General features: G+C 42.9%; 1 long non-coding RNA gene across 2 annotated transcripts in view, besides 1 other annotated feature; it reads right to left on the bottom strand.

Annotated features, from left to right (window-relative positions):
- Nucleotides 1-7,708: 7,708 nt before the first annotated feature.
- BNC1-AS1 (BNC1 antisense RNA 1) overlaps nt 7,709-23,657 on the bottom strand; it is a 34,652-nt gene continuing 18,703 nt past the window's right edge. Inside the window, exon 3 of one of the 2 annotated variants that reach the window (XR_932541.3) lies at nt 7,709-7,955. This is a non-coding gene — a long non-coding RNA (BNC1 antisense RNA 1). The remainder of the gene's footprint in view (nt 7,956-23,657) is intronic. The other variant, XR_932542.3, reaches the window with a different exon arrangement.
- Nucleotides 15,217-15,762: an enhancer, noted in NCBI's record as "NANOG hESC enhancer chr15:83979362-83979907 (GRCh37/hg19 assembly coordinates)". NCBI's record gives its function as "activates a minimal SCP1, AML or CMV promoter by ChIP-STARR-seq in primed H9 embryonic stem cells {active_cell/tissue: H9 hESC(primed)}" and the evidence as "EXISTENCE:reporter gene assay evidence [ECO:0000049][PMID:30033119]".

Here is a 23,657-nt window from a genome sequence, read left to right as displayed (position 1 = left end):
ATTTGTACTCCCTGGAATGTGGAGACATGGGCCTCCCTCACTGCAGTCCAGATGGAAGCTGATCTCTGAGAGGCCACTCATGGTGAGTGAGTGAGGCCTCCAGCCAGGCGGTGAGGTTGAGCTGAAAGAAGAAAGTTTCCTAAAAGTAAAACCCAGACCTTCGCCGGGCATGGTGGCTCATGCCTGTAATCCCAGCACTTTGGGAGGCCGAGGTGGGCGGATCATCTGAGGTTGGGAGTTCGAGACCACTCTGACCAACATGGAGAAACCCCCGTCTCTACTAAAAATACAAAATTAGCCAGGTGTGGTGGCACATGCCTGTAATCCCAGCTACTCGTGAGGCTGAGGCATGAGAATCGCTTGAACCCAGGAGGCGGAGGTTGCGGTGAGCCGAGATGGCCCCATTGCACTCTAGCCTGGGCAACAAGAGCAAAACTCCATCTCAAAACAAAAACAAAAACAAAAACAAAAACCCAGACCTTCTTGAAGACTACTTTGAGATCTTAAAATGCATATGCATACAGAGAGGGGGAAGAGGGGCTGTGTATATTGTCTAGGGAGGACAACAAAAAGAAGACCTGGCAGTGGAGATGGAGGAAATAGACAAGTTGAGGAAATAGGAATGGGAACTGTGTTCTAATAGTCAGGGTTCTCCAGAGAAACAGAACCAATAGTGTGTTGGGAGTGTGCGGGTACATTAAGAGATTTAAAGAATCGTCTCACGTGATTGTGGGGGCTGGCAAGTCTGAAATCTGTAGGGCAGGCTGGCAGGCTGGCAACTACAGTAAGATTTCTGTGTTAGTGTTGAGGCAGAACTCCTTCATCTCTGGGAAATCTGTCTTTACTCTTAAGGCTTTCAACTGATTGAATGAGGGTACCCAGATTATTGAAGGCAATCTCCTCTACTTAACGTCAACTAATTGTAGATGTGAAGCATATCTACGCTAGTGTTTGACCAAAGAAGTGGGCACCATAGCCTAGCCATGTTGATACATAAAATTTAACCATCACATGTGAAAATTAAGTGAAGTCCTATGGGTATTAACAGCATGAAAAGGAGTCTTGGGATGATGACAGTGAGGAAACAGAAACTTGTAGATAGGGACCCATGGGATGGGGGTGGGGAGCATGAGAAAAGGTTAACTATAAGCTCCTCACTTTGCAGATTAGCTGAAACTCTAAAAGGATTTATTCAGTCCATTGCACCTAGGTGATCAGGGAAGCTCCTCCTAGGCTGGCATCTTGCCTCTAGCTCCAACGTGTCTGAATCCAGCGTGCAAAGCCTGGTTTTGAGTGGGGAGGCAGAACAGGAGACTAAACCACCTTTGGTTCTGCCTGAGTCAGGTCTTTAAAGGGAAGATCATTTAGTTTATCTAAAGAGCTGTGAATTCCCACAGCCTTAGGCAGACTCATATTCCAGTGTAAGCACAAAAACAAATTCTAAAGCCAAGTAAATGACTGGTGATGAGCCACAGGTATGTATTATCATGACCATTGCTTTACCCTGTGAATTTTCTCTGTGAAGGGAGGGGAATCCACCCCAAAAATATGAGGTTTAGACAACTTTTTGGGGACTGTTTTTAGTGCTTGGTACTGAAATGGTGACTGGCAGACAGGTCAGTGCACACAGTGTACTGCTGATGACCTAAAGGAAAGAGATACATTATGCATGACAGTTTCTCTGGTGCTTGCAGCTCTAAGGATCAGCTTTTAAGCAAGCAGAGCTGTGATTTCTATAAAGGAAGATCTCTGGGTAGACAGGAAGGCCATAGTTTTTGATGAGGTGAAGTGATGACTGAAGTAGATTTGACTTTCCCAGCGTCTAGGTAGGAGGAGAACATGTGTGTGTGTCTTTGCCAAAAATGGCAGCCTAACAAGTCTATCGATGGTGTCCTCATGCAGTATCAGTGAATTCTGCAGAGGCTGGGAGGTCTGCAGATGAAAGCACTGTGGAGTAGAGCCCTCCATGGCCTGGTTTCTGAGCAATTGGTGTGAACAAATGCTAAGAAATGTTTCCACATCTGCCCAACCATATTTGCCCATGAAAACTACGTACCATGACTTCTGCCTCAGTACAATATTTGCTGCTATTGGCCAACCAAGGGGTTGTGGGTATGTATAGGCTGCCCTGGGATGTCTCTGTCCTTGTCTCTTCATCCATGTGTCTTTCTCTGAACGACATTATGTGTGGTTGCCTGCTTCCTCTCAAACACACAGAAGTGTGTGTGTGTGCACATGCACTTGTGAGCAAGTAGGCATACACATTTCCTTCTTTGTAATCAGAGCAGGTAGGATTCTTGTAAAGTCTGTCTCAGTCAGTTTAGAACATTGGGACAAATTCTACACTCAGATCTTTCTATAAAGGGGAGGGGCAGGTGGAGGCCTTGGAGGCTTACCAAGGGGCACAGAGGGGTATCCTTGCAGGCAGCATGGGCTCCTGGAAAGCCACACCAGGACACAAAACTCAGTCACTAAACAGTTTTTCCCAAACAGCCTGCCATGCAGTTGCATTTGCGATTATTCAAAATAACACGGAGCAAAAAGGCACTGCACCCATGTTCCCTGGCAGCTCACTGAGGTCTCTTGACACACTGCTGGGTACAGGAAGGGGCGTTTCTGCCACTCCATGTAGTTTAAGCACAGATGTTCCAGGCAGCCTCAGAATCAAGCTGACACATCCCACAGCATGACAACTGTGGCGCGAGGTTCTCAGGAAGGGCTGAGTGTGAGCATTAGGTCACTGAGCTCTGTTACTGTTTAACCAGCCTCAGCCTGCGTCATGGTGACACACATCTGCTGACTGGACGCATCGGTGCATCGTGCTGTAGGCTGACTGGTGGGCCATGCTTGAAAGACTCCTGGCATGTACCCCTTCCCGCATTCTTCACTCTTGACTGAAAGCATATGCTCTACACAATTGGGATAGTGTTAGCATGTGGGTCCGAGGCAGCTTCCTACACATCTGGCTTAGGCTGGTTGAATCGCTTCCCCTGGGAGGGTGGCTTCCAGCTCTGTGACATCTGGCCAGTGGCAGGAAGTGTCTGGATTCATCCCAGAGTGAATTTTATCTCCACATGCTTTTCCAATTTCATCAGGGCCTCCATGCTACATTCCGAATGACATGTCCACATTTGCCATGGACAAGAATGACAGATGGAGAAAAATCATCTTTGACCCTTAAAAGTCAGTCACATTTTATAAGATAAGAGCTTGGGCACAAAAGGTATTATAGGAGAGAACTCCAGAGATGGCTTGAAATATTACATAAGTTATACATGATTTAGCTTTTGGAAATAAAAGCGCCTACCCAAACTGCTGGCATAGCAAAGCAATGAAAACAGCATTTAAAATTTTTATTTTTCTTTTTTTATTGAGGCATAACTTACATAGAGTAAAATGCACAAATCTCAAGTGTGCCCCCTGATGACTTTTTAATTTTTACACATGCACATACCCAAGAAGCCACCACCCAGACCAAGGTTTAGGACACTCCCAGCACTCCAGAGACTCCCTTATTCCCCTCCCTTCACGGTGGACAGCCTACCCGCAAAGGTTCTCACTGTTCTGGTCTCTATCACCATAGAGGCATTTTTATTTTGGGGTCTTACTGGTTTAACAGATATCTCATCATAACACTCTGTAAACTTCCATGCACTTGCATGAAAAGTCAAGTTTCAGAAGAAAAGGTTTTGTAACACTCTATGCTCCAGCATGTGGCGATCTTCTCTTCCTATATCCAATGTTTCACAATTGAAGAAGAACCTATTCCTGGAGGAAAACTTTTTTTGCCTTTAGCTATGAGGGAGAATTCTGGATTTGTTCTTGTTTCTGAAGCCCATCAGTATCTTGCAGCTGTGTTCATGCATTTGTAAATGTATAGCCACATGCCTTTAGGTCTCCCCTCTTTGAAGGACACCCAGGCCCCAGGCCAAGAACCCCAGCTCTCAGCCTTGCTCTGCCTCTTCCCGGGTCTTGCACCCAACCAGGAATGAGGCCCTCGTTGCAGCTTGCTCCTCTCCAGTTAAAAAAAAAAACAAAAACGCTTAGTCAGACCCAAAGCTAGTTGCTGCAGGCCCCATTCGGTCCTCAGGAAATACCAAGAGAAAAGGCTGCAGGAGAGAGGATTAAACCCTTCTAAGTGTTCGGATACCGTATATCTAACTTCAGCAGCTGTTTCATTAGATTCAGTGGGCACAGCTCCCCACTTTGCCTGACCAGCTGCTCTCTCTCAGAAATCCCCATTGTTGCAAGGAACTGACTTGAGGTATACTCATCTTAGCAACATGGACACACCTTTTCTGGAGGATTAGCCTCTTTGCCACTCTTCTTTTATTTTTAGATGTGAAAGCAACCACTGGGAAGGATCTGGGTTGAGTTTTGGGGGGCAGGGGAAGGAGGCCTTACCCACAGGAAGGAGGCAGTGCTGATGGAAGAGACCTGAAGAAGGAATCTCCATGGAACCGGGGCTGCTTCTGCCCAAGTACAGCACTGACGCTCAATGGGACCCTGGATAGGCCACAGTTTCTCCACCCCCAGTTCTCCATCTGTAAAACGCGGTGCTTAAGTGAGACCAGGCTATTGTATAAAAAGACTAAACGCAGAGCTCTTTGGCTTAGAGTAGGGAGTGTGGGTTTTTGTACTTCCACTGTGTGTTTAGCACCTCCAGGAGGACTTAGGCAACATGGGACTCCATAGATAACCAAAAATTCCTACAAATAGGAGGGAGAGGGCATGCTTTGCCATGTGTGAAAAGGGTAGTCTTTTCCTTCTTGGTGGTCACTGTCCACACATGCCAACTGCCAGCAGAATGACTTTCCAGAGCCTTGTAGTATTTCAGGGGCTGGTCTTTTGGTAAGACAAGAACATCCCGGAGAGAGAACATTCAGGGATGCTCCTTGTTGCTGTATCATGGGATCTTTACTCTCAGACCAGGGCCTTGCCAGCATGCCAGTCTACATAACGGGCTCTGGTCACTGAGCAGAGGCTATCTTGTTTAGAACTACTGAGACAGAACTTTGTCAGAATTTTAAAGGCAGCAGAAAGAATTACTCCATTTGGTCTTTTTATCTATCAGGCTGCTCTTATCCAAGCACTTCATATTACTGAGAATTAAATTCATCTTTTAAAATGTGCCCCATGCAGCTTCCAGAATGATTAATCCTATTTATATATATATGTGCTGTAATGCAAATGCTCTACAACATAGTGGGTTCTGATGTTCACATCCACTTTTGCCCCCACTGAGGCTCTCAGCTGTATGTGGAAGGAGAATTCTCTCACATGCTGGTTGCATCTTGTTCTGTCATTGTCTTGAGTTTACATCATCCCCATGTCCTCTTCTGGCCCTATGCCATGCCACATTCCACATGGATAATATGAGAAAGTACTCCTCCTGGTTGTTCACTGCTTTCACATCAATAGCAAGGGGCTCTATCTCTCTATCCATAATTGCTCAGAGTTTACACTCTAAGCACATCTTCATCAACACAATTCATATAGCTCTGGGTAGACCCATACCTAATGGCTACTGTGCACATGCCACGAGTTCTGGTATGCACAATGCAAAATGTCCACTACATGGCTCCATCAGTGCTCTGTCTTTGTGCCATTCACTTCTTGCCCATAAACACTTGCTTCATTCAGCAGTCTACATCTCTGATTACCACTGTGACCATGAGGGAGGTTTTACAGCATCTGTTTTTTTGGTGGAGGGAACTATTTCCAGGCTGAGAACAACTTGAAAATGTCTCCCCCACCGTGCAGATATCATCAACTTTACCAAGCTTCCTGTGGCAAACATTCCCAGGAATTTGTTGCTTAACCATTTCACAACCACCCTCTGTGGGCTGCAGTACTACGTAAGATCGTTTGGAATTGGTTTGTTTCGGACCATCCTTCATTTACTTTCATCCTCAGTGGTGTGGGACAGTGACTTACACATAGAATTGATATTCAATGGATGAATGAATGAACTTAGCATCTTTTAACTTAAATCAAATCTCAATTTCAGATGATGTTAGTGAAAAATAAAGCTGCATCTGAAGTTAGGTTTATTTACTGTAGAAAAAAGCCGCCATGCTCTTTAACAACGGGGATGTTGGTGGGAAGAGTGCTGGATGAAGACTTGTTTTTAATTCCTCTGATATTCATCAAATCATTTTAATGAAGTGGGCTATTTATAGATAATGCCAACCTCTGTGACTTTTCTCATTTCCATTTCATCCTCAATTCTGAGTGTCTACTTATGTCTATTATCCAGGACCCACCCTCCAGGAACCCCTCCTTGATCTCCCTGAACTCCCCTCATCAAGGTATCTCCTCGACTTTTATGGCATTCTGCCCTACATCCCAGCCCCCAGGGGTCCTTGCCCTTTCCGCTTGCTATGCTTGAGAAAACTCCTGGAGAACAGGGCAGGGTTCAGAGCTTTGCACACCATGGGCAGTCAGTGAACAAGCAGGAATTAGTGGTTCCAATGGGAAGCATTTCGTGCTGCCTTTTAGTAGAAGTAATTCAGATGAGCTACTGGAAACATTTATTTAAATTATTTTTACAACTTTCTGTTTCTTCTTTTCCATATTGGAAAAGTAAACCATAGAAGATAATCTGCATATTTGTTTGTCAATCTTTGGATGTACGTATCTTAAAACTTATTTTTATGTGTTCCTAGTTGAACTATTTGTAATAGGCCAAAACTGGAAACCATCCAAATGCCCATCACTAGTAGAATGGATAATAAGTAAACTGTAGGATTTCACACAATAGAATAACTGCCCCTGTAGGGCAATTATAATGAGCAATCTACAATTACATGCAACAATTTGGATACATCTCATAAACACAATGTTGAGTAAAAGAAGCCAGGTACAAAAGAGTATGATTCCAGTTATTCCATTAAGGAATAAAACAGGCAAAACTCTTTGCTGCTAGAGGTCAAGATACCCTTTGCAAGGGTAATGACTAGAAGGGGGCCTGAGGGGAGTTTCTGGGTGTAATAGTGAATTTTTTCTTGATTTGTGAGCTGGCTACACAAATTTTCAGTTTGTAAAGACTTGTTGTATGTAACACTTATGATACAGGTACATCTCTCTGAGAAGATCTCTGCCACATACACTGTCTCTGGAGAGATCTTGGCCTGGGTCCTCTTTCCAGATAGATGTCAAGAACCAAAAGGTGTCAGGACTCAAACTCTGCCAAAATGGCACTGTATCCATGTGTTATCTATTGCTGTGTAACAAATTACCCAAACACAGTGTTTTAAAATAGCAAACATTTATTATCTCATAGTTTCTGTTGGTCAGGAATTTGGGAGTGACTTAGCTGTGTAGCTCTGGCTCAGAATCGCGCATGAGATTGCAGTCAAGGCATTGACGAGGGTTACAGTTATCTGAAGACTTAACAGGGCATGTGGAATCCACTTCCAACAGGACTCATTCACATGGTCAATGGCAGGAGGCCTCAGTTGTTCACCATGTGGATCTCTCCATATGGCTGCTTGAGGGCTCTCACAACATGGCAGCCGGCTCCCCCCAGAACAAGTGAGAAGGAGCACAAGGAATAAGCCACAATGTCTTTGATGAGTTAGTCTCAGAAGCTACACACCATCTTTAATACCATATTCTATTCATTAGAAACAGGTCACTAAGTCTAGCCCACCCTCAAGGGAAGGGAATTAAGGTCTACCTTTTGAAGGGGAAAAAGTATCAAAGAATTTGTGGACATATTTTTAAAACCACCAAAATCCACCCTCTGACCACAAATTATTTACATTCTTCCCATATGTAAAAGATACTCACCATCTTCCAAGGCCACCAAAAGTCTCATCCCATTCAAGCATCAGCTGTAAGTCCAAATCCCATCATTTACATCAAGTCCAGATGCGGATGAGGGTCCTCAGTTGTAGTTCCTTAAGTACAGCTATTTGGGTACAAATCCTCTCAATCTGAAGACCTGTGAACTACAGATACAGCTATCTGCACCCCCATCCACACACACCCAACATACATATGATGGTGGGACAAGCATGGACACCCACTAGAGAAGCTCCTGTTCAAAAGGGGGTAAAACAGGAGGCATGCAGAAGTTACTGGTCTGTAGCAGTTCTGAAATCCAGATGGGCAAATGTTGGAAATTCCTTGATTAGGATTCAGTTCTATTGCTGCTCAATGGGGATTTTCATGACTTTTGGCTCCATTCTCTGGACTCTTGGTCCCACCCTCTGGTTTTCCTTCCTTTTTCATGAGAAGTAACCTATGTTTGCAGCTGCATAGTTATCTCAGCTTGCTTCTCACCAACAGAATTCTTGGAGTCTAAAAGCCTCTTTTTATTTTGTACTGTCTCTGTCCCTTTCAGTCCAAGTGTGATTTTTAAACCAAAATGCAGTAGAAGTGATGCCATAGCTCCTGAATCTGAGATGGAGGAACGTCTCTCCTGAGACACAGGCCTCTAATGTGAATGTGCCACTCTATTTCAAAATGGCATCTGACCACCACACCCCAATGCACCCTCTCTTGACTTGTCACTAACATGCCCATGAAACATGGGAAAAGACTTTTTCAAAAAATTTACAATGTTGAAAACAAAGACAATAAAAAGACAAAACCTTGGAATAACAGATATTAGACATGGGCAGACAGAGAAGAAATTGTATAACCTTACTTTAGTTTTCAGCTCATGGAATGATCTGGCTTTGCTTCTCAAAACAGAGAGTCTAACAAAAATAAAAGGAAGATATATTTGTACCTTCTTTATCATCACCAGAAAGCCAGGAAGCTAGCCCTCCACCTATGTTGGGCACTGCCCAGTAAGGGCTCTTCTGCCTTTGCACACATGCGTGCACAAACACACACACCATCCAGTACAACCATCTCTGCACACTCATACAGATATGGATGACCCTGGCAGTAAGGGTACCGGCACAGGATGACACATATTGTAAGTCCGGAGATGTGATTTCCACAAGTGAGGCAATGGAGACAAAAGAACCCTGGTAAAGGCCGGGTGCAGTGGCTCACGCCTGTAATCCCAGCACTTTGGGAGGCCGAGGCAGGTGGATCACAAGGTCAGGAGATCGAGACCATCCTGGCTAACATGTTGAGACCCCGTCTCTACTAAAAATACAAAAAAAAAAAAAAAAAAAAATTAGCCAGGCGTGGTGGAGGGTGCCTGTAGTCCCAGTTACTTGGGAGGCTCAGGCAGGAGAATGGCATGAACCCAGGAGGCGGAGCTTGCAGTGAGGCGAGATTGGGCCACTGTACTCCAGCCTGGGTGACAGAGCCAGACTCCGCCTCAAAAAAAAAAAAAAAAAAAAAAAAAGAACCCTGGTAGAGGTGCATACTGCGAATTGCAGTTTTTCTACTCTGTAGTAATTCAGAGTTTGAAAGAAAATCAAGAGCACAAGAACAGGGAAATTATGATAAGCCCTAAAACTAGCTAAAATAGAGAAACTTATAAATAAAATAAAATTGGATAGAATCTACGTCTTAAAAAATAATAATCTAGATCTAAAACTCCACACTGAGTTTGTAAATGAGAGAGATAGAGGCAAGGATATTTTAAAATATCAGTTAACTATTGACCCTAACAATAAAAAAAAAAGGGTGGGTAAAGGAAGACTTCAAGAAGGCTTTAACAACTTATAAAATTAGAACCTGGATATATGTTCCAAAACACTAGACTTCAGCCAGAAGAATTAATAAACGTAGAAAAAAAACAGGACAGTGTTAAAGAAGTGTAATAAGGTATATCAGTGATTCTCAAAAAGTTGTGCATCAGAGTCACCTAGAAGCCTGATTAAAACAGATGGCTGAGCCCAGGCCCACAGGTCATAATTCAGTAGGTCTGGAGTGAGACCTGAAATTGGCAGTTCTAACAAGTTCTCAGCTGATGCTAAAGGTCAGACCACACTTTAAGAATCACTGAGATACACTATGCCCCACTAGAAAGTGTATTATAAAATTACAATAATTGATGAATGGATAAACAAAATACATCCATACAATGGAAACTATAAAAGGAATAAAATATTGATTCATTCTACAGCATTGATGAACATTGAAAACATTATGCTAAATGAAAGAAGCCAGACACAAAAGGCCACATATTGTATGATTTCATTCATATGAAATATCCAGAATAGGCAAATCCCAGAAAGCAGATTTGTGGTTTTCAAGAGCTGGGGGTGGGGAATGAGGAGTGATACTAATGGGCATAGGGTTTCTTTGTGGGGCAACGAAAATGTTTTGGAATTAGATAGTGGTGATGGTTGCACAACCTTGTGAATATACTAAAAACTACTGAATTCTACATTTTAAAATGGAAATTTTTATGGTATAGGAATTAGATCTCAATTTTAAAATGTACCCATACAGATTACCAGAAAAAATATAAGGTAGCTGGCTATATATTCTTGGTGCAAATAAAGATTGGAAATAAAAAGGAAAAGAATATAGATTAGATGCCATGTGTTTAAAACAATTAGAACAAAATTAAAATATAAATAGTAAACAAAACAATATTTGCAACAAATATGACAGCATTAATAACCTGACTCTTTCAGAGTTTACAAATAAGTACAAAAGAAAGAGACTAACCCCTCCACAGAAAAAACAAACTAAGGACATGAATGGTAGTTCTTAAAAGCTAAAATATACATGGCTAGAAAACATATTTCATTTGTTAAAATTTCAATAGCTTTAGGGATACAAATGGTTTTTGGTTACATGGATAAAATGTATGGTGGTGAAGTCTGGGCTTTCAGTGCACCCATCACTTGAACAGTGTACACTGGTACCCAACAGGTAATTTTTCATCCCTCACTGCCTTTCCACCCTCCCCGCTTCTGAGTCTCCAATGTCCATTATACCACTCCATATTTTAAATATTCAATCTAGTTAGCTATCAAAATATAAATTAAACTGGGCCAGGCACAGTGGTTCGCACCTGTAATCTCAGCACTTTAGGAGATTGAGGCAGGAGGATTGCTGAAGGCCATGAGTTTGAGATCTGCCTGGGCAACATAGCAAGACCCCATCTCTACAAAAAAATTTAAACAAATTAGCCAAGCATGCTGACCTGCACCTGTAGCCCCAACTACTAGGGAGGCTGAGTCATGAGGATCTCTTGAGTCCAGGAGTTTGAGGCTGCAGTGAGCCACTGCACTCTAGCCTGGATGACAGAGCAAGACCGTGCCTCAAAAAATAATATGTTAAACTAAGATACTATTTTGCTTAATAGGTTGGCAAAGAATTAAAAATATATATATTTCATAGGTGAGAGGTTCAACGGTCCAGACTTCGAGGGGGACAATCTGGCAACATGCATCTGAAACCTTAAAGTGTACATATAGCCTTTGACTCTGCAATATCACTTACATGAATTTCTACTAAGGAAATTGTTAAGGATATGTCCCAGTAATCATCCTCCAGGTGGTTGATGGACAACCCTGTTGAAGATTTCAAAAATCAGAAAGGAGCTGTGTGTTAAACAATAAAAGTTGTGTTAAAAGATTGTCCGTCTAGTAAATAAAGTATTATCCAGTCATTAAAAATGTTGTTGATTAATATCTATTGCCATGGGAGGATGTTCGTGATATATTGTTAAGTGGAAATAGAGGTAAGAAAATAGTAAATGCAGGCCGGGTGTGGTGGCTCACGCCTGTAATCCCAGCACTTTGGGAGGCCGAGGTGGGCGGGTCACGAGGTCAGGAGATTGAGACCATCCTGGCTAACACAGTGAAACCCCATCTCTACTAAAAATACAAAAAATTAGCTGGGCGTGGTGGTGGCCGCCTGTAGTCCCAGCTACTGGAGAGGCTGAGGCAGGAGAATGGCGTGAACCCAGGAGGCGGAGCTTGCAGTGAGCAGAGATTGTGCCACTGCACTCCAGCCTGGGTGACAGAGCAAGGCTCCATCTCAAGAAAAAAAGAAAAGAAAAGAAAAGAAAATAGTAAATGCAGTGTGAGCCAACTTTTGTCATAAAAGCTGTATATGGGATGTAAAAGATCCAGAGGGCAGTACACTTAGGCATCACAGAGGGTGTCTCTGGATAACGAGAGTAGGATGAGTTTTTCTTCTTTTAAGCTATCTGTTTTTTCTGCAAGTACTGCATAGTGCTTTTGTAATACAGAAGCAATTACTTTCACTTTTTAAAGGAATGGAACACAAAATTGAGGTGGATACTGCATTTTGTGGTATGACACTGATGCACAGAAAATGGAGACCAGGAGCAATGCTGCAAACCACACAAGAAAATAGGGATGGCCTTAGGAGTCCCATTCCTTCTGCTCTATTCCTACAGTAATAGCCCATGATTCTGCCAGCCAAAGATGCTCTGCTCCTGAGAAAGCTTGTCAACTTTAAGGAAAAGATGCTAAAGAGTTATCATGTGTTCTTAGAGAGACTTCTGTTTCTTTGGATAGAATTTAGAGACCCAAAATCACTGAGCAAAGGAGTGGATAACAATATCAAATTTGAGCAGTTTAATGAGATTCAATTTCCACTAACAACAGCTTACAACAGTGGAAATGAGACTCAATTTCCACTAACAGCAGCTAACATTTATTCATCACTTACTACTCGCCAAATATTTCACATATATTAACTCATATATATAATCCTCACCACAACGTATAAGCTAGGTACTGTTACTATCCCTGTCTTAGAATGAGAAACAGACACAAAGAGATTAAGTAACTTGCCCAAGCTCACAAGATTCAAATCTAAGCATTCTGGTTGTAGAGTCTTTTTAGAATCTCTCTCTTTTTTTTTTTTTTTTTTTTTTTTGAGATGGAATTTCGCTCTTGCTGCCCAGGCTGGAGTGCAATGGCACGATCTTGGCTCACCGCAACCTCTGCCTCCCAGGTTCAAGCAATTCTCTTGCCACAGCCTCCCAAGTAGCTGGGATTACAGGCATGCACCACCACGCCCGGCTAATTTTTTTTTTTTTTATTTTTAGTAGAGACAGCGTTACTCCATGTTGGTCAGGATGGTCTCAAACTCCTGACCCCAGGTGATCCGCCCACCTCAGCCTCCCAAAGTGCTCGGATTACAGGTGTGAGCCACCACGCCTGGCCTAGCATCTCTTTAACCACAACTCTAGACTTCTGGGTTCAAACAAACATCTTGCTATTATAATTTGGGCAAGCTTCTTTGCTTCCTCAAGGACTCTTCCTGATTGCCTAGAGAAAGATCCTGCATCATCTCTAATCTATCTGCTCCTGATCCTGGAAATATGGGATTCCTTGGATCCCTGTCTTCTTTACTATCCCCCAATCCCATTGCCCCATGGGTTCACATCTGAGGAGCAAGATCGGGTTGGGAACCACTGGGCTTTTGGGGTGATGAACCTTCACAGGACAGTATCCTGGCAGGGGGAGTGGGGGTATCAGAATTTGCAGATGAAGTCCCCAGTCTCTCTCATCACCTGCAACATGCTGGACACACTGAGAATCAGAGCCCATTATAAATCCCAAGCTGGTCTTGAATTTTCAGTTTTGTCTGAACTTTCAGAAAGTAAATTCATTCCATGACAATGTAGGGGGAGCATGGGAGCAGCCCACCTGGGTTGCAGGGAGTATGAGGCTGCGTTGTCCTGTAGAGAATTTAAAAACAATAAAAGAGCTAACTAAAAGTCTCTCTGCTTTTTATTATCTCCATGCACCAATTCTGAATAATATTAGCAATAAAAGACCACTTCTACCGACCCTTCCCATCTTGGTACACTATGACTTTCATTTCTAGCTTTTCTTTTGTCCTACCGTTTTGTTAGTCTGACCATCAACCCCCAATACCCTCATTCTTCACTGGGGTTCTTGGTATCTGAAGTGATGAATGAAGAGAATACGAGTCTTTATTTGGGAGGAAGAAAGAGGAGTGGTCTTTAAAGCCCATGTCTGCCCTCTTTTCTCCCCACAGAGATGTCTGGGAAAGAGGAGCTGGGAAACCAGGCATGGGGCCCAACTTCTGTCTTTTCCCTGAGGGCAGACATTGTCCCCAAACTTGGAGTGAGGCTCATGCTGGGAAAGGGAGTGTCTCTGAGGCCCAGCCCTGATGTCCCAGCTTTTCTAAAACTTTCCCTGTGCCCCAAGGCAGAGTTAGTCACTTCCTTCTTCTGCTCCCACAGCACTTTGTACATACACCCCTTTGTTGGAGCACTGGGCACATTGAGCACTCTTAGATCACCCCACTCTCCAGGGAGCTCCCTGAGGGCAGGAACTTACGTGTTCATCTTTGTTCCCTGGTTCTGACACACAGCAGATGCTCAAAAATGTTCAGTTGGATAGAAAATGCAATCACAGGCCAGGTGCGGTGGCTCATGCCTGTAATCCTAACACTTCGGGAGACTGAGGTGGGCGGATCACAAGGTCAGGAGATGGAGACCATCCTGGCTAACATGGTGAAACTCCGTTTCTACTAAAAATACAACAAATTAGCTGGGCATGGTGGCACGTGCCTGTAATCCCAGCTACTCAGGAGGCTGAGGCAGGAAAATCGCTTGAACCTGGGAGGCGGAGGTTGCAGTGAGCCAAGATTGCACCACTGCACTCCAGCCTGGCAACAGAGCGAAGACTCCGTCTCCAAAAAAAATAAAAATAAAAAATAAATGAAAAAGAAAATGCAATCATACATTGTATCTATCTTCCCTCATGAAACCCTGTCTGCTATCAGCTCATGATAAATATGGTCCAGAGTGAGGCATCATTCATTCATTCATTTATTCCACTTATACTTGTTTCTTCTTATGTAACTATCATTATAGTAAATTGCTTTTTACTGTTACTGATCTGAGTGATTTCATTTGTTAAAGATAGTAATTTGCAAACTGATAGAGGAATAGCAATTCAATACAAAATGAGGAAGTTTCCGGAAAGAAATTCAGAAATTACAGAAGGGAAGTTGATGATATTAATTTGCCCTGTAGGGACTATGGAGACCTGCAGAGGAAATGGAAGAGGAAATGGAGTTTGGATCATCCTCACCCAGGGGCAAAATCTGATGGGAACTGTTGTGACCCTGTGATAAGGACTTTGTCGAGGCCTCAGTGCAGTAAGAGAATTACTTACTAATAACGGGTGGGGATAAGCTGGGAGGAAAATGTGACAGGACTCGTTCAGCCTTGTCCAGGCCACACCCAGTTTAGTCAATGACTTCTGAACCCTAAAGACATTAAAGGAACACAGTGGAGGTTGTACTTGGGACAAGTGGCAGGTAGTCAAGTGAGAGGCTTAAAAATAAAAATATCACCCTGCTCCTGCAGAGGAATGAATGCAATCCTCTTTACCCAGTAAGAAACATCCCATGCTGCTGCAAAGATTGTCTTGAAAAGAGAGCTGTCCTGAAGAACATTTGATGGTTTTGCTTAAAGAATGAGCAGCTGACCTGATCTACTTCCTTTCCTTTAAACAGAAGAACTTGTACAATAGCTTCAACAATAGCCATGTCAGCAATAATCACTGTGAAAAACTTTTTGCCAAGATGAAATTCAAACCTTCATAGGCATGTGCTGTGGTAGCATTCAAAAATATATTTTCTAGGTATCTGAAAAGAAATGTAAAAACATGTAAAATAAGTACACAAAAGCCAATTAACAATAGCATCTGGGGGAAAGAGAATGGAATGTAGGGGAAATCCTTGGGAAGCACACAGCTGATAGCTTCAGCAGCATTTCCTGAGCTTTGGCTTTGACCTATTCTGAGAACCTTCCGGGGCCTCTCAGGCAATATTACCACAGACAGGTTTTGCAAACCAATGGCTTATGGGCCAAACACAGCTCACAGCTGTGTTTCATTTGGCTGGAACAGTGAATTCATTTTTTAAAAAAATGTTTTTAATTGATATATAATCGTTTTACATATTTTGGGGGTATATGTAGTGAATTCATTTTTTTAAGTTGAAAATCTTTAAATAAGACAGGTGCTTTCCAGTTTACCACAGGTCTTCCCTGCTCCCAGTTGTCTGACACTAACTCATCCACATGACCTGCCAGACCTCTGTGGGCATCTAGGACTGTGACCCCTCCATGCCCTAGACTCTGGTTCTCAAACTTGACTGCCCACTGGAATCATCCACAGGAGCTGTAGGAAATACCCATGTCTGGGTCCCAACCCTGAGATCCTGATATAACTCACCAGGAGTGCAGCCTGGGCAGCAGGAATTTTAAAAGCTCTCCAGGTGATTTGAATGTGCAGCAAAATGTAAGAATCACTACCCTTGAGAAAGGAAACTAGCTGAAAATCTATGACCCAGGGTGTGTTCCACAAGGCACGCTTTTCTCTAAATTAGCTGTTTCCCTTTACCTGACGCTAGGCCACATGGACAATGGAAGGGGCACCTACTTCACCAAGACCCTCACATTCAACCTACCCTGATGGACTCCAGGCCAAACTCCCCAAACTATCCCTGGTGATTTGGGAGATAATGATCCCTTTTGAAATGATGGGTTAGGGCCATTTTCTAGAGCTTTTAGTAGTTGACAGGTGATTTGGCCACAAGCACAGAGTCAATCATCTTGTATTAGGCATGAGGTGCCTTTTCATTTGATTCATATTAGATTTATAACAACATCATGAAGAAGGTATTACTCTCCCATTTTATAGATGGGAAAATGGTGACACTTAGCTCTGGGGCTATAAAAGCTTTACTGTACACTCAGTAAGTCAGGCTATGGTTGATTTTATTTCAATAAACATTTGGTGGCTGTTATGATGCCTGTGGAGAGCTACATCCCAGAACAGCCCCGACAATTGTTTACAGCCAGCATGTGCTCTGATTGTTCAGTTCCTGTGTCACATTGGACAGTAAATACTTGAATTTAGAGTCATTGGACTTGTATTAGGCACCAGGCAGTTTTATCATGTCTTTTATAACTAAAGTGATAAGATGTGGTCCCAGTGCCTCAAGGCTCAAGCATCGAAGGGGAAACAGACACTGAAAACTTTGCAATAGGATGTAATGCATCATAGAAAAAGATGGAAACTGACCAGACGCAGTGGCTCACGCCTGTAATCCCAGCACTTTGGGAGGCTGAGGTGGGCGGATCACCTGAGGTCAGGAGTTCCAGACCAGCCTGACCATCATGGAAAAACCTCGATTCTACTAAAAATACAAAAAAATTAGCCGGGTGCGGTGGCGCATGCCTGTAATCCCAGCTACTGGGGAGGCTGAGGCAGGAGAATCGCTTGAACCCAGGAGGCAGAAGTTGCGGTGAGCCAAGATCGTGCCATTGCACTCCAGCCTAGGCAACAAGAGCGAAACTCCATCTCAGGAAAGAAGGAAGGTAGGAAGGAAGGAAAGAAGGAAGGAAGGAAGGAAGGAAGGAAGGAAGGAAGGAAGGAAGGAAGGAAGGAAGGAAACTGAGTGTTATGAGAGCATCAAGCATCTATCTCTACCTCTGCAACACCAAAGAAGTCTCCACACAGCAAGAGATATTTAGACCTACATCTTGAAGGATGAGTAGGAGTTTCTCAGGCAGAGAAGTGGCTAGGTGGGTGAAGGTACTTGCTGAGCAAAGGCACGGAGGTACACCAACGCACGGCATGTTAGGAAAACTTGGCTTGGAGTCAGGAAAAGAATTGCAGATTCCCTTGAAGGTCAGTTTATCCTGCTTATCTATAAACTTAATGGTTCCGAATGGCCTTAATTATTTTTTCAGTATTTGGACCGTCAGGTCTGTTGTAGATGAGTTTCCCAGCTGCAGAGATAGAACTCACTATTGTGGCAACATCCCTAGTCTTTTACTGAGCACCTTTCTCCTTTCAAATAGCATTCCAGAAATCTGAAAGTGTCCCTTATCTCTAGCAGAAAGTAATCTATTTTTCTCTCCCACTACAGTCAAGAGTACAGTGGCATTGCCAATTATCTTATATTAGCTGGTGCCAATGGCAGCATTATTTTTTAAAAAAATCATAGGAAGAGATGGAAATCTCAGAAAAGGAACACACAATGTAACACTAATACTTTGGATATTTCTTTTTTTTTTTTTTTTTCTTTTGAGATGGAGTCTCGCTCTGTCACCCAGGCTGGAGTGCAGTGGTGCTATCTCGGCTCACTGCAAGCTCCATGTCCCGGGTTCACGCCATTCTCCTGCCTCAGCCTCCTGAGTTGCTGGGACTACAGGCGCCTGCCACCACACCCAGCTAAATTTTTTTTTTTTGTTTGTATTTTTAGTAGAGACAGGTTTTACCGTGTTAGCCAGGATGGCCTCGATCTCCTGACCTCGTGACCTGCCTGCCTCGGCCTCCCAAAGTGCTGGGATTACAGGCGTGAGCCACCGTGCCCGGCCTGGATATTTCTTTAAAATTTTCTTGAGACGACCATAATCTGTCATTCCACTAACACATTAGTGTCTGTAATTCCTCTTAGCATGTCTTTTAAAATCCATCCTTTGTACCTTACTGTGGACATCTTTTTTAATGCTATGGAATACAGAAATTGTGGATTTTTAATATTCAGACTTAGTGAATTATCTAAATGAGCTCACACAAGGCTTTCACTTGATCTAATTATGGTTACACCTTCCAATGCATCATCAGAAGTAGCATTGTCCAAGATCAGCCAAGACATCTGTGCATGAGCCTGCTCTCCCCTTTTCACGTGCATGTGTTTTAGCCTGGAGTGATGTACATGACTTTGATATTCTTCAATATTTTCAAGCGGGAAGGTCTGTACAAGATTAATTACAAACTTAGGGCCTAGTGTAACCCAGTCTCTCATTATCATTAATGAACCTCTTCTTCTGTACTAAGAAGAGACCTCTAATTGGGTTTATTTCTTAGAGTAGATATAAAGGTATCCCTCAGAAGTTTACTGTGATGACCCATTATGTGAAGTCAACCTGCTAATCTATGCAAACTGGAGGATCCACTGAGAATAATAATTTTTTGTCACATTAGTCTGTTGGGGGAAGCCACAATGAAAATCTACTGCATCATAATATATACTTGGTTGATTAATCTGTAAGTACAACTTGGCTTTAAATTATTCATGATAATAGCCCTTAATATACTAGTTTACTGTGGCATATTTTGTATCAGTAATGGAGATCTCAATCCTTTAAGAACATATTACAATTCTCCACTATTAAATCTTCCCTGAGAGGTGGGGTAAGAGCCTGACCAGGACTTTCATGGGAATGTCATGTTTGCAGCATAATAATCAAGCTTTACTGTTCTGAAGAGACTTTCATCCTAAGGATCTCAAAGCACTTTATGAGCCTTCATTAGTGCCAGGAATACCCTGAAGGCACCAGCGTTTTACTATCTTCATTTTATAGGTGAAGAAACAAGACCAGCTGATGAAGTGACTTGCCCAAGGTCACATACCCTATCAAAAGGACATCTTGGAGGGCACAGGTAGATTTAAGTCGTGACTGTTTTTCTTCAGCCTTACAAGACACTATTCATGTGTCTTTTGAGCTAGAGAACCATGGCCATGGCTTTCAACGTTTAGGTGACCTTCATCCATCCTCAATCCCCTTAATAGGCCCTCAGTGCCTGCTGAAGGGAGGAATAAACCATAGTCTTACTGGTGCTTCCAAGTCCAAAAAATTCCTTATTAGTTACTCAAACTCTTTTATTTGAAATTTCTCTCCCACTATGTATGGCTTGAGGAAGACTCTTGTGAAGTATGCTAAATATGCCACTGCTATCACTTTCACATTTGCACACTCTAAGAAGAATGGAGTGTTTGGGAATGCTTATTCTTAAGAAAAGCGATTTCCATCTCCCATACATATTATTATAGGATTGTAATAAAGGACTTTTGCTTAAGTTATATTCTGCTGTTGCGTTGGAAAGTTCTAAATAATTAAGTGGTAGGTTTCTCCTTATAAATCTGGCTCTTCTTTCTAAACCCTCAAGCTTCAAGAAAACTGAGGAGCTTTTTAAAAATTACTTTTTATTGCTGGTGACATCTATAATATGGGTCCTACTTTGAGGTGGGGGAGGGGATCTTTTTTGTTTGTTTTGCTTTAAATGTGTGTATTTGATCCCAGCTCAGCTTTACATTTAAACATTTTAAAAGTGCATGCACTCCCAATTGTGTGGAATGCCAGGAAACGAGTTCATTCTGCGAGGAATGAGCTTTCAGCTCTGTCCTTTGTGACAGATTCCAGAGCGTCTCTACCTTAAGGCAGGCGGGTCACCGGGCCGCTTCAGTGACCCCCCCCTAACCTGTACCAGGCTGCCGGCAAGCACTCCTGTCAGCTCTGTTTACTCTGGCAAGACTGATGGCATCCAGGTGGATTTCCCAACCCCCGTGCCTCCTCATTCTCCGCCCCCACTTCTCCTCTCCAGCCCACGACCACGGCTGCATTTGCCAATGGAATAGTTAGGCAGTGAGTTGCTGTGCAAAACTCCCATCTGTGAAAGCGGCTTTTCTCCTGAGTTAAATCACTTGCTTTGCATTTAATGTGTGTAGGGCCTCCATCTGATTCCCTCCTATCCCCATCCCCACCCTGAAGTGTCCTCTGAGCTTTAGGAAAATGTGTCCTGGTGCTTGTTACTGCTCCTGCATTTCCCTAGATGAAGTCACTCGCCTGGGAGGGCTGTGCTGTTAGGCAGATAATCCTGTTAAGCATCTGGAGGGCCTGGTCAGGAGATGTTCAGCTCAAGAATGTCAGAAGTAGATAGAATGGTGCTGGAGGTGGGCTCCAGGGGCAGTGCTGAGGGTAAACAGGCTGCTTCCCTGCTGGACATCAGCCTTGGGTCTGCCAGCTTCCCATTGCCAGCGACAAGCTGCTGACCATAAGGAATCGTGATTAGTGGATGACTGTTACATGTTAAGCTAGCCCCTCGGATGTGGCACTAAGCCCTAGAGACTCAGACATGAGTAAGACACGGTTCCCAGGTAATGTGTGTGGAGGTGGGGGAGGAAGCGGTGAAGTGAAAGGGCAAGGTAGCAAATGGGAAATGATGTGTTGCGGAATCCAGAAGGGATGATCCCTGAGGAGTGGAGGGGCTAACTGAAGGAACAAAAGTGATCAAGGCCTGGGGAGAATGGGGGTGTTCCGGACAGGAGAAATTACATAAGCAAAGGTGCTGAGGCGGGAATTAATATGCTGTGTTCAGGGAACAAGAGAGGGAGGGATATGGCTGGGGCAAGAGTTCACACGGGGGAGTAATGGAAGAGTAACTCTGGAGCCAGGGTAGGGCCACATGAAAGGGCCTCAAGTGCCAGGCAGAGAGGTTATTCAGCAAGCAAAACTAAAAAAAAAAAAAAGAAGTTCTAGAAGAACTAGCCAGGAAGGTGGGAGGGTGACATGATCCAGGTGGTGTTCTAGAAAAATTAATCTGGCATTAGCTAGAGACTGAAAGCAGGAAGCTGTTTGACTGTGGTAACCCACATAGGGCTTGATATGGGCTGGGCAGTGGCTGCTTAACTTATTCGTGGTCCCCCTTGCTGTCTAGTGTGTCCTTCAGCCCCTACCCTCTATACCCTTCTGTGGCTAACTTCATTCATTCCTTAGATCTTGGCTGAAATGCCACTTCCTCAGGGGAGCCCTCTCTGACTGACCCCAGATATATTCCTACAGAAGCCCACTTGCTTTCTCATAATACCCCATTGTGTTGTTTTGTGTTTTAATTGTTTAAAAAAAATCATAATCTAAAATTTACCATCTTAAACATTTCTAAGTGTAGTCCAGTAGTGTTAACTGTATTCACATTTTTGTGCAACCAATCTCCAGAGCTCCTTCATCTACACCCATTAAAGCACAACTCCTCATTTCCCCCTCCCTCTAAGCCTCTGGCAGCCATCATTCTACTTTCTCTCACTATGAATTTGATTACTCTAGGGACTCATATAGTATTCGTTTTTTTGTGGGTGACTTATTTCACATAGTTCAATGTCCTCAAGGTTCATTCATCTTTAGCATATGACAGGATTTCCTTCCTTTTTAAGGCTGAATAATATTTCGTGGTATGTATATACCACATTTTGTTTATCCATTCATCTGTCAATGGACATTTGCAGACTTTTTTTTTTTAACAAAACAAACTGCTAGATAGGACAGAACAGAATTAAATTATCAGAGTACCTTCTTGTAATAGGGATAAATATTGAGAGGGAGAGTCACTTGTCAGAACTCCAATATAATAAGATTAGCAAAATAGGGAACAAATTTTATATCATATACCCAGAATTTAGGGACACAAACCAATTCCTTTTTCTATCCTGTATATAGTGCAAGTATCAAGGCAGGTATTGACGAACTTATACATCTAACTCTTCTTACCTTAAACTGCCACAGTAGAAAATGAAAGTGAATTGAGGAGTGAAAAGTACTATTTCTCCTGGCCACATTTTCCCAGGCATTTTTCATTCTGTGACGTTCGCATCCTGGCTAGGTAGGCCCAGTCCTCTTAGCTGTATGACTCTAGAGGCTCTCGGAATCAGAATGCAGTTCTCTGTTACTCAGCTTCATTGACCACTGAAGTCTGGGCTTAATTTCTAATATGAGCCCCAAAGTTCTTTCTTTCCCAATGCCCTTCTGATCTGTGCCCCCAGCATCTTATGTTAAACCTTGGACTGGCATCCTCCCATTAGAGGAAGGGGTCTAAGACAACTCTGTGATAAGTTTTTGCCTTGCAGCTACAAGTATTTAATACATAAGCATGAAGGAGGACACACACATTCATACATACACACACACACAGAGGCAGACACGCATACAGCCTGGGGCCTGTGAAGCAAAGAGGAGACGTTGCAACTATTCCTTGGTGACTGTGGGAGGGAAAAGAGAAGATATGGGTGACCATCACCTTAAATCTTTCTTCTATTCATCGGCAGAGACATCATTCTTCTCCACCCCACTCCTATACTACCACCTTGTTCTGGCTGTTACACAGATGTTATAGTGGACACAGAATAACAAATGTGCACTGAGGTCCAGAGGCTTTCTTGGTGCAGAGGAAGCCTCTGCTAACTTATTTCTAGCACACTTGATTGGCCCTAGGCCCTGGTACTTTACTCGTCCAGGAGCAAAGTCATCAACAAACATCTCTGCCTGAGAGACTCAACCAAATCTGTATAAACAAGAAGAACTGCGAGCTTGAAATAACTTACAGTGGTAGTTGTTTAATATAATGGTCACATCCCTGGACATACAGTCACAGTTCAAAGATTCATAAGGCATTTAAGTTTATATCTAAGCAGTGGTTGGGAGGATAATGTGTAATATGATTATGCTAATTTTCAATGCAGATAATAATAAAGTCAAAATTAAAGAATTATATCTAATGCTTATTGTAAGTGAATGCTCAAATTGTTATTGGAAATCAGAACATCTTATTGAAATGTAGAGACACTGAAGATATGAAATTGATACTGAAATTTTAATACAAATTATGCATTTGGAAGCAGGAGTTAGTCAAAGCTGAGTTGTTTCTACTCTGAGCCCCTCTCCAACTCTAAACACATGACAGTGATAGATAAAATGTAAAAATAGAATACTAAAAATTTATAGCCATGCTTGAAAGGAAAATAAGCACCTCCATGGACTAGAAACTTATGAGAAATGTAAGCTTATAAGTGGTAAGCAGAGTTGGTAGGTTGAAAATTACTGCATGAGAGATGGAGAATTGAAGCCAGGATTATTGCAGAACTGCACAGATCCAAACACTGGGCAATGAGATGACTTTTCTCAGGTCCCGGATGTAAGGTGA

The sequence above is a fragment of the Homo sapiens genome, chromosome 15 (genome assembly GCF_000001405.40).
Source record: "Homo sapiens chromosome 15, GRCh38.p14 Primary Assembly".
In the NCBI taxonomy this organism is placed as follows: Eukaryota; Metazoa; Chordata; class Mammalia; order Primates; family Hominidae; genus Homo; species Homo sapiens.
This window is presented reverse-complemented; position numbering and strand designations above follow the sequence as displayed.